Source organism: Homo sapiens, chromosome 3 (assembly GCF_000001405.40).
Source record: "Homo sapiens chromosome 3, GRCh38.p14 Primary Assembly".
In the NCBI taxonomy this organism is placed as follows: Eukaryota; Metazoa; Chordata; class Mammalia; order Primates; family Hominidae; genus Homo; species Homo sapiens.
In genome coordinates, this window is record NC_000003.12 from 65256534 (window position 1) to 65268782 (window position 12249).

The 12249-nt window shown below is 38.7% G+C and overlaps 1 long non-coding RNA gene across 1 annotated transcript in view; it reads right to left on the reverse strand.

Moving 5' to 3' along the window:
• Positions 1–3111: 3111 nt before the first annotated feature.
• The window catches only part of LOC107986094 (uncharacterized), a 71566-nt gene continuing 62428 nt past the window's right edge, over positions 3112–12249 (reverse strand). The window contains exon 4 of the long non-coding RNA XR_001740740.1: positions 3112–3209. This is a non-coding gene — a long non-coding RNA (uncharacterized LOC107986094). The remainder of the gene's footprint in view (positions 3210–12249) is intronic.

Genomic DNA, 12249 nt, shown 5'->3' on the forward strand with positions numbered 1-12249 from the left:
CTTTATAGCAAACAATTCTAGTATTTGTGTCATCTGTCATAACCCAAGCTGAGCTTGTCTTAGTTTTCTCTGCATCTGTGAGCTTTCTGATGCCAGTATGGATATTTCAGTCCTTTTTTGCCCACAACCTCCCCACCCCACCCCCCTTCCCCAGCCCAGGTGAAAACATTCTGCCTTTCCAACCACAAAGAAATGAGTAAGCAAATTAAATTCTACTGTGAGGTCATTAAAAAAGATGGGTTTGCTCTCTCATCCTTCTATAGAAAGATGTTTGTAATAAAATTATAAAGATCAGGTAATAAAACTGTATTATAGAATGCCCATTTTGGTAAAAATATACATTTTATACACTAAATGTCTAGACCCGTGGTTTTTCACCTATGGCTACATATTAGACCTTAAAAAACTAGTCCTGCACACTCCGGACTATTTGAATCAGAATCTCTGGGAATGGGCAACAGACACTGATATTCCTTAAAAGCTCCCCAAGTGATTCTAAAGATACAAACAGATATGTTATCAGAGGCTGTCTCTGCCTGGTGGAATTATTGGTGTTTTTATTTTCTTCTCTTTCATTATCTTTTTTTCCCCCTCCTATAAACATGTATTGCTTTTGTGATAAGAAAAGAAAAAATCCTCACACACCGTCAAAGTACAAGCGGAGACAAGGGTAGAATGGAGACAATTTTCAACATCCACTAGCCCCTTACTAGAAGGGAGAGAACACTGGACCTTCCTGCTGCACTGCTCAAATTGCAATCCCACAGGGCCTCCTAGGAGGAGGTGGGGCACAAACACAACACTGTTGTATTAGGCTGTTTTTGCATTGCTATAAAAAAGATACCTGAGACTGGGTAATTTATATAAATTTAATTAACATATAATTTATATGTTATATAATTTATATAAATTTAATTAACATATAATTTATATAAATTACCCAGTCTCAGGGTTTTTGTTGGTGGTGGTTTTTTGTTTGTTTATTTGTTTGTTTGTGTTTTGGAGACAGAGTCTCGCTCTGTCACCCAGGCTGGAGTGTGGTGGCATGATATGGGCTCACTGCAACCTCCACCTCCTTCCTAGGTTCAAACGATTCTTGTGCCTCAGCCTCCCAAGTAGCTGGGATCACAGTCATACACCACCACACATAGCTAATTTTTGCATTTTTTTGTAGAGACAGCATTTCGACATGTTGGCCAGGCTGATCTTGAACTCCTGGCCTCAAGTGATACACCCATCTCGGCCTCCCAAAGTGCTGGGATTACAGGCATGAGCGACCATGCCTGGCCAGTCTCAGGTATTTTAATTAATTGGCTCACGGTTCCGCAGGCTGTATAGGAAGCATAGCAGCATCTGTGTCTGGGGAGGCCTCAGGAGACTTATAGTCATGAAGGAGGGTGAAGAGGGAGCAGGCACATCACAGAGTGAAAGCAGGAGCAAGGGAGAGAGTGGGGGGTGGGGAGGTGCCACACAGTTTTAAATGACCAGACCTCATGTGAACTCATTCACTGCCTCAAAGATAGGACCAAGCCATGAGGGATCTGCTCCCATAACTCAAACATCTCCCCCCAGGCCCCACCTCCAGCATTGGGGATTACAATTAAACATGAGATTTAGGCAGGGACAAATATCCAAACCATATCAACCATCCTGCAGATCCATGCCAACCAATGGAGAGGGCATTAAAGGATACACTAGCCGGCCCTAAAACACTGGACTCACTTTTGAAGTTTATTAACCTTCTTGTTAAAGCTCAGCTTCAACTGTTAATGGTCATCAGACCTTCCCCAAAAGAAGATGCAATGTGCACAGAAGTCCCCCAATAGTCCACGAAGCTATCTGATGATGAAATAGATGCCAATGGCTACTCTACAGACAAAAATACGCAATCCTATCTGATGCACAGAATTTGAAAATAATATGAGTTGTCCCCAGAGTTCAGGATCATCATAAATCTAGGTAGTTACATAAGTGGTGGGGTGGGTAGGGGGTCTGAGAAAGCTCACCCATAACACTTGCAGAGCCTGGGGTAAGAATTCAAATGGAAGCCCATAAGCTGTATGTCTATTTTATAAATCAGGCTTAAAAACTGTTAAATAAAATGTGTTCTGTCTCCCTACCTTGATGACTACTTTTTCCACAAAGATGAAATGGAAAATATGTAAAACCATGGCTTTTAAGTGACCACAAATCAATAACATATCAAAGATGACTGAATGGAAAGATTATTGTACAGCTCTGAGTATTCTGTAAATGGGCCAGCAGCATTTGAATGAGTAATAAAATAAAGCCATACATAGTCATAAATTGTTACCTATCTATGCCATAAGCTTTACTTTTCTTGCCCTTATTTCCACAGAATCACTTTTATAATCATTTCACTAATATTACTATCAAGATTTTCACATTATCTATGTTCTATTAACAATAATAATTTAAAGAATTCTAGATAAAATGTAAATTATATGCACAATACACAAAATTTGAGAATATTTTTATTCAAAAGTTATATTAAAGTAAATGTAACAAGGTAAAAAGAATTATTTAAATTATTACTTAATGTTTTATCATTTTTATGTCTATTATACATTATTTAATAAACTATTTAATATTACTTAAAGTATTGCCTTCACATTTTGTCTTCTAAAATGTTTTAAATTATCTACTAAAATTAAAAGACAAAATTTAAAATAATTAATGGAGTATTCAAATTTTAAATCAACACTAAATAAAACACATATTTTATTTAATTTTTTTAAATTCTTATTAAATATTTAATATTTCTTTTAAATCTCATTAAGTGTGTAGAAATAAAACTACTCACAATTCTAATGCTTACTGTTGAAGTGTGCAAATAATTGGTATTATGCTTCATTCACATTTTATCTAGAACTAAATAAATTGAAAATTTTTTAATATTGTACATTATCCCTTAGCTGCCTTATGTGACTGTTATAAATCCACAGCTGACTCCTAAGTAGCCTTAAAACAAGATTCTTGGTATGCAAAATCTATTCTTGCATTAATGTTATCCAAAAGGAAGAATTTTACATGTTAAATAATATATCTGTTTTCTTACTTCTGTCTTACCTTCTGTCACTTAAGCCCTCCCGTACCGTGGAGCAGTGTCCCTGATGTAGGCAGCAGCACAATCCACAAAGCTCCAGGTTCAGTGACGTTGAGATTCAGTCATCTTTTGCTTCAGGAACCTTGGGCAAGAGAAGTTGTGAAGTGGTTCTCTGAGACCTGAGAGGTGCTAGTCATGGCAGTTGACGTTTAGGATTACAACTCTCCCTGTAGCAAAGCTGAGCACTGGATCATAAATGACAGATGTACTCATATATACTAATAGTGTGTGTGTGTGTGTGTGTGTGTGTGTGTGCAATGAAAATAAAAATTGATAACTGGGACCTACATTAAGAAGTTCTGTGTGTGTATGAGAGAGGAAGGGAAGGGAAAGGAAGGGTAAGGGGAGAGGAAGGGAAGGGAAAGGATGGGTAAGGGAAGGGAAAGGAAGGGAAGGGAAGGGAAGGGAAAGGAAGGGAAGGGAAAGGAAAGGAAGGGAAGGGAAGCGAAGGGAAGGGAAGGGAAGGGAAGGGAAGGGAAGGGAAGGGAAAAGGAGATGAGGTACCTTTAAATTAAGGGCTCACCCATAGCAAGGAGTCCCTCCTGTCTAAGTCTAAGGGTAAAACTGCATCTGAGAATGCCAGAAAGGATTCTTTGCTCAAATATATCTCCTTCACTGAAAGTTTGGTGAGAAGTGAAATATTTGCATAACCTCAAAGTCTCTTTCCTTAAAAAAATACTTAATTATAAAAGGAAGAAAAAGAAAAACTTTACAGTGAAGAAACCACTGATCAAAGTAAACTTCTCTTGTAATAGGAAGCAATGAAAAGAACACAGCACTGCTTTCTGTGATACTCCTGCCAATGAGGAATGAACTGAATCTAATCATGAGAAAACATCAGGCAAGCACAAATCAAGGGAAACTTTACAAAGTAAATGAAGTGTAATAATGAAAAATGTCTCCAGCTTATGAAAGCCAAGGAAAGACTAAGGAACTTTTCCAGACTGAAGACTTAAGAGAGATATGACAACCAATGTACCATGTGATCCAAGATTAGATCAAGTTTCGTCAATTTTTTCAATAATATCCTTTATTGGATAATCCTTTTGCTACAAAGACATTACTGGAGCCACACAAAAAATAAAATACCTAGGAATACATCTAACCAAGGAAGTGAAAGATCTCAACAAGGAGAACTACAAAACACTGCTAAAAGAAATCACAGAAGACACAAACAAATGAAAAAGCATTCCATGCTCATGGATTCAAAGAAACAATATTGTTAAAATGTCCATACTGCCCAAAGCAATCTACAGATTCAATGCTATTCCTGTCAAATTACCAATGTTATTTTTCACAGAATTAGAAAAAAACTATTCTAAAATTCATATGGAACCAAAAAAGAGCCTGAATAGCCAAGGCAATCCTAGGCTAAAAGAAAAAAACAGAGGCATGATATTAAATATCAAAATATACTATATACGGTTTCAAAATATACTATAAGACTACAGTGAACAAAACAGCATGGTACTGGTACAAAAATAGATACACAGTCCAAAGGAACAGAATAGAAACCACTGAAATAAAGGCATTCCTACTTCCTGAATAGGATACTCTTTCTGCATTGTTTATTTTTATCAACACAGGAAAGGACACTCTATTCAATAAACAGTGCTGGAGAAAACTAGCTAACCATATGCAGAAGAATGAAACTGGACCCCTATCTCTCACTATATACAAAAATTAACTCAGGATGGATTAAAGACTTAAATGTAAGACCTCAAACTACACAAATCCTAGACGAAAACCTAGGAAATACCCTTATAGACATTGGCCTAGGCAAATAATTTATGACTAAGTCCTGAAAAGCAAATGCAACAAAAATAAAAATTGTTAACTGGGACCTAATTAAGGAGCTCTGTACAGCCACGTCAAATATTAACAGAGTAAACAAACTACAGAATGAGAAAATATTTGCAAAGTATCCATCCAACAAAGGACTAATACCTCTAATCTATAAGGAACATAAACAAATCAGCAATAAAAAATGACCCATCAAAAAGTGGACAAAAGACATAAAAGATGAACTCAAACAAATTTACAAGAAAAAAACAAACAATCCCATCAAAAAGTGGGCGAAGGACATGAACAGACACTTCTCAAAAGAAGACATTTATGCAGCCAAACGACACATGAAAAAATGCTCATCATCACTGGCCATCAGAGAAATGCAAATCAAAACCACATTGAGATACCATCTCACACCAGTTAGAATGGCGATCATTAAAAAGTCAGGAAACAACAGGTGCTGGAGAGGATGTGGAGAAATAGGGACACTTTTACACTGTCGGTGGGACTGTAAACTAGTTCAACCATTGTGGAAGTCAGTGTGGCGATTCCTCAGGGATCTTGAACCAGAAATACCATTTGACCCAGCCATCCCATTACTGGGTATATACCCAAAGGATTATAAAACGTGCTGCTATAAAGACACATGCACACATATGTTTATTGCGGCACTATTCACAATAGCAAAGACTTGGAACCAAGCCAAATGTCCAATAATGATAGACTGGATTAAGAAAATGTGGCACATATACACCATGGAATACTATGCAGCCATAAAAAATGATGAGTTCATGTCCGTTGTAGGGACATGGATGAAACTGGAAACCATCATTCTCAGCAAACTATCGCAAGGACAAAAAAACAAACACCGCATGTTCTCACTCACAGGTGGGAATTGAACAATGAGAACACATGGACACAGGAAGGGGAACATCACACACTGGGACGTGTTGTGGGGTGGGGGGAGTGGGGAGGGATAGCTTTAGGAGATATACCTAATGTTAAATGATGAGTTAATGGGTGCAGCACAACATGGCACATGTATACATATGTGACTAACCTGCACGTTGTGCACATGTACCCTAAAACTTAAAGTATAATTTAAAAAAGGAAGTTAAAAAAAAAGACACTTCTCAAAAGATCTACAAGCAGCCAACAAATATACCAGAAAAAATCCTCAACACCACTAATCACCAGAAAGACGCAAATCAAAACCGCAATGAGAAACCATCTCACACGAGTCAGAATGGCTATTTTTGAAAAGTCAAAAATAGATGTTGGCAAGGTTGAGGAGAAAATGGAACACTTTACATGCTGCTGGTGGGAATGCAAATTAGCTCAGCCCCTGTGGAAAGCAGCTTGGAGATTTCTCAAAGAACTAAAAATAGAATTACCACTGGACCCAGCAATCCCATTACTGAGTATATACCCAAAGGAAAAGAAATCATTCTACCAAAAAGACACGTGACCTTATTTATATGTTTATTGCCGCACTATTCACAATAGCCAAAATATGGAATCAACCCAGGTGCCCATCAATGGTGGACTTGATAAAGAAAATGTGGTATACACCATGGAATACTACATAGCCAAAAAAAAGAACAAAACCTTGTCCTTTGCAGCAAAATGGACGCAGCTGGAGGCTGTTATCCTAAGTGAATTAATGCAAAAACAGAAAACCAAATACCACATATTCTCACTTATAACTGGGAACTAAACATTGGGTGCACACAAAAACAAAGATGTGAACAACAAACACGGAGGATTCCAAAAGCAGGGAGGAAGAGAGGATGGCAAGGCTTGAAAAACTACCTATTGGGTACCATGTTCACTACCTGGGCAACAGGATCTTTAGAAGCTCAAATCTCAGCATCATGCAATATGCAACAAAACCATACATGTACCCCTGAATTTAAAATTTTTAAAAGGAAAAAAAATAAATTTTTAGCCTGATGACTGGGAAAAAAAGACATTATTGCAACAACTGACAAAAGCTGAATGGAACCTGTGGATTAAATAGTAGTCATTTATTAATGTCAATTTCCTGATACTGATGGTTGTATTATAATTATATAGGGGAATATTCTCCTTTAGATCAGATATACTCAAGTATGAGAGGATGACTGGGGACTGTTTGCAACTTACAGGGGGAAAAAATCTTTGTACTCTTTTTTCAACTTTTCTGTAAGATAGAAATTTAAACATTGTTTTTAAATCACCCAGGGTCTTATGGTACCTGAAATTCCACTAATAGTGACATTACTGGTCCTTTCCATTAGAAGAAAACTCCTCTAGGCTACTCTTTTTAAACTACTAGTATTCCTGAAGGGGATTAACACAGTCTGTTATCTATCATCCATCCATTTATTCAACAAAGATTTCACTCATCTCTTCAATAAATGTGTTTAGCACCTACTGTGTGTCAGCCACTACACTAGGCAGGAGGAATATGTTGGCAAGCAAAATTAGTCATGACCCTACCCCTTTTAGGCTTTTGATCTAGTAAAGAAGATACAAATTAATCCAAAACTCACAAAAACAACTATAAAATTCCAATCTTGACAAATATTACAAAGAAGTAAGTGATGCTATAAAAGTGTATAATTGAGGAATGAGGAATTGACCTAGTATTTGTTTTGAGCACTGAAGATAAAAGGGTGAATGAGGTACTACATTTAGTTTTTAGCAGTTTACAGGGTAATAAAGGAAAAACAAGAATAAAATGACATCATTGGGATGTGATAAATCTAACAAGAGTGACATGAAAAAAATACATTGGGAGCACAAAGGAAAGGTTGATCTTAATGTAAAGATCAGGGCCTGAAATCAGTGCCACCTGATCCAAATTATGAAAAATGAATAGGCAAGGAAATGCATCAATATCCAAGAGTCATGTAAGCAAGGGAGTGGGGGTGTGGGTGGGAATTGTGGCTCCTTAGGAGAGGGGTGACTATCACAGAGCACCTGCCACATAGAAATGAATATCACAGAGTGCCTGCCACATAGAGGTGAATATTACAATGCTTGCCACGTAGAGGTGAATAGCACAGCGCCTGCCACGTACTGGTGAATATCACAGTGCCTGCCACATAGAGGTGAATATCACAGAGCACCTGCCACATAGAGGTGAGTATCACAGAGCGCCTGCCACTTAGAGGTGAATATCACAGAGTCCGTCACGTAGAGGTGAATATCACAGAGCCCATCACATAGAGGTGAATATCACAGTGCCTGCCACATAGAGGTGAATATCACAGCGCCTGCCAAGTATCGGTGAATATCACAGTGCCTGCCACGTAGAGGTGAATATCACAGCGCCTGCCACGTAGAGGTGAATATCACAGAGCGCCTGCCACATAGAGGTGAATATCTCAGCACCTGCCACGTATCAGTGAATATCACAGTGCCTGCTACATAGAGGTGAATATCACAGTGCCTGCCCTATAGAGGTGAATATCACAGCACCTGCCACATAGAAGTGAATATTACAGTGCCTGCCACATAGAGGTGAATATCCAAGTGCCTGCCACATAGAGGTGAATATCACAGAGCACCTTTCACATAGAGGCGAATATCACAGTGCCTGCACATAGAGGTGAATATCCAAGTGCCTGCCACATAAAGGTGACTATCACAGAGCACTTGCCATATAGAGGTGGATATCAAAGTACTTGCCACATAGAGGTGAATATCACAGTGCCTGCCACATAGAGGTAGCTATCACAGTGCCTGCCACATAAAGGTAATATCACAGAGCATCTGCCACATAGAGGTGAATATCACAAAGCACCTGCCACACAGAGGTGAATATCACAAAGCGCCTGCCACATAGAGGTGAATATCACAAAGCACCTGCCACATGGACCCTCTAGAAAGGCGCAGGCCAAGATATCACTGCAAACGCAGGTCAGGCTTGGATGCAGAAGGATCTAGATGTTGGCCATTTTCCCTAGGCAGCATGGAGCCACTAAAAGTTTGTAAACAGTGGAGTTGGATAGCCATTTCTTTGAAACTTAATTGCCCTAAGCTACAAAGTGGAGACTCCAAAATGTTAAATGAATAAATGAACGAATGCAGAAACAAGCCTTATATCAAAATAGGTGAATTCTTGAGAAGACTCCTGAGACAAGTACAAGATATAATGTAAGGCTTATTGCTGGTCCGGTCACCCCAGTTTTAAATGGCACAACCTCACTTGCCAAATACTTTACTACCACAAAGGGCTGGATTGTTCAGACTCCCACCCACAGGGAGGTCCAGGATAGGCCTGAAGGGAAGCTCTCAGAATCCCTCCCACAGACCTCTGACCAGTACAATGTAGATTTCTAAGGGAAATAAGATGCCACAATCTTTACGTCAGTTTTACAAAGAGAGATGTTTTCCAGCTGTAAAGATGGTGCATATCAAAACACATTAGTTCACATAATTCCTAATCAGAACTCTATATCGCAGATGACAGAAACCCAACTCATACTAGAAAAAGTGAAAGAGAATCTATAGGATCATATAACTGAGGAATCAAAAGGGGAACAGGCTTAGGCACAGTTTGACCCAGGGTTTAAGCAAAATCAAAGGAACACTCCCCACTCCCATTTCTTTTCTCTTCTGGAATCTACTTCATTTCACTTTCAAATATGCCCTCGATTCATGGTGGGAAACCACCAACAGCAGCCCACATTCATATCCTGCATGTTTAGGATTCTTGGTAGTAAGAACAAGTCTCTTTTCATAGCTTTGGCAGAGGAGCCTTGGGGACGAGTCTTCCAGAACCAAAATGGATCAATGGCACATCTATAAACAAATTACAGTGTCTAGGGGACAGATTAGTCTAACTGGTAGATCTGAGTCAGTGTATACCGTTGACTGCATTATTCCCTTACAGGAAAAAAAAAAAAAAAAGTTCTGTTTCCATAAGAAACAGGATGATGTGGTGCCAGGCAAACACAAACAACAGATGTGGTAGATGTGGCAGATGGACTCATGCCTCTTTATTTCCTCCCTTTGTAGTATGCCTTACAGATGCTAGAGGCTAAGAAGCTAAAAACTACTCATTCACGGTTCCCTCCAACTCAGGTTCACAATGGGCAGCCTCTGCCAACAGACACAATCATGCAAAATCTAGCTGCTTACACTACTTATTCTAGCAAGAGCATTCATGGACGCTCTTGTGAGATCCTTACAGATGGTCCCAGCTTCATGTGTAGCAAGAAATAGAGCTCAGGAACCTAATTTGCTACTAAGGGTCATGGCTAATGCAATGTAGTCTTGGAGCCACCAGCTGTGGTGGTGGCTTCCTAATCGTTACAAAAGATGAACTTTTTTTGGTAAACCACCTCTGTGACCATTTGGAAGCCCAGCCTGCAGCCTGTTTGCTTAGTCTTTTCAATTATTGTGTAAGCCCCTAAATCTCTGTATATTTAGTCCCTTTCTATTTGAATCAGGTAGAGTATGGATCCTAACGCAGTTATCCACTACAATTTCTGAAGAATGCTGTACAAATAAAACTTTGTTCTGATTCCTTTTTACAAATGATAGATTCATGGAATCCATCTTAGCAGAATCAGGCTATACCTTCCATGAGTTCATCCCATCATTTGTGGCCCCCAGCAGTTTTGAGATACCATTTTCTTTTTATTTTTGACACCTTAGAGTTCTATAATTCTCTCTTCTTCTTTATAATCAACTGTTAAACTCATCTCTTAAGATGTTAATTTTGGTTATTGCTATTTTCAATTTCTGTATTTCTATTTTGTTTTAAAATACATTATGTCATTTTTCCAATTTTCTGACAAAACATTTTAATTTTCTAAGCAGTTATTTTTAAATGTTTTTGAACTTTCCAACATCTGGGTGGGGCCTATCTCGTGCCAGCTGTTCCGTCTGTACTCACTCAATGTGTAGTCTTATGTGCCTGACTATCTGTGAGTTGTGTGCCTATAAATGCATTTTAAAAAGTGTTTGTAGAAATAATTTGAACTCAAATCATGCTATTTTCTTCTAAGGAGGAGTTTTTATTTATTTTTGTCAGGCAACTAGAGGCATTAGAAATCTGGAATAGTATCTATCTGATTTCAGGAACCACCCAGATAATCCAAAGATGTGGATTCTAAGAATACAGTTTTGCTTCTGGTACACACTTTCTAATTAAGGGGCAGGCTTTTACATTCCCAATTCAATGTGTAGAGCTCTTACTAGGTTTCTACCATAAGCAGGTCCTGAACTCTAACTTTTGCCACCTACTTCCAACTCCATTAGGCTGTTGAAAGTGCTGCTCCAGTCTCAGCTGCCTCTTCTGGAATCTGCAAGCCCACCCAGGGTTACAGCAGCCAAAAATGTTATTGCGCCTCTTTTGAGTACTTCTGTTTCTTAAATCTGGGCTCAATAATTCCTCACAACCTAGTTAGTTCCCTAAAGCCTTAAAACAGATTTTTTAATAGATGATATTTTGTCCAGCTTTCTGGTTTGTCATCAGTGGGAGGGTTGGTCCAAATTACAAAATCTGCCATAATCCAGGGGCATTTTACTTTTCTGGGATCCAGAGATAGCATTTCAAACCCATTCCACTCAGATTATACAGCGAAACAACAAAACATTAGAAAGTTGTATACAATGTCCCAACGATTTTATCCAAAGTGGTAGAAAATAAGTCTGGATACAGTCAAGGGATGAATCGTTTTGAAAAACTTAATGATATGGTTTGGCTGTGTCCCTACCCAAATCTCATCTTGAATTGTAGCTCCCATAATTCCCATGTGTTGTGGGAGGAACCCAGTGGGAGGTAATTGAATCATGGGGGCGGGTCTTTCCCATGCTGTTCTAGTAATAGTGAATAAGTCTCATGAGAGCTGATGGTTTTATAAAGGGAAGTTCCCCTGCACACGCTCTCTTGCCTGTTGCCATGTAAGGTGTGCCTTTACTTCTCTTTTGCCTTCTGTCATGACTATGAGGCCTTGCCAGCCATATGGAACTATAAGTCTATTAAACCTCTTTCCTTTTTAAATTACCCAGTCTTGGGTATGTCTTTATTAGCAGCATGAAAATAGACTAACACACATAATAACCAAAACTTTGGTCTTCCCTCAAACAAAACAGTGATTAAAACGCTGTTGTCAAGGAGCAGCCTTTTCATGGTGAGACAGGCAATTCTCCCACATGAGGCAGCTGCTAGGAATGACTTCATTTCTGACAACTGCTCTGTTTCCTCCTCACTGCTAATAAGCTGAGAGATTCTGGAATGATTCTCTCAGGAAGCTTTGTGTGTGTGTATATGATCATATTTCATTTTTATTTGGCAGAACAGAAAAGATGATTGGGATAAAAACAATTTCTGCTCA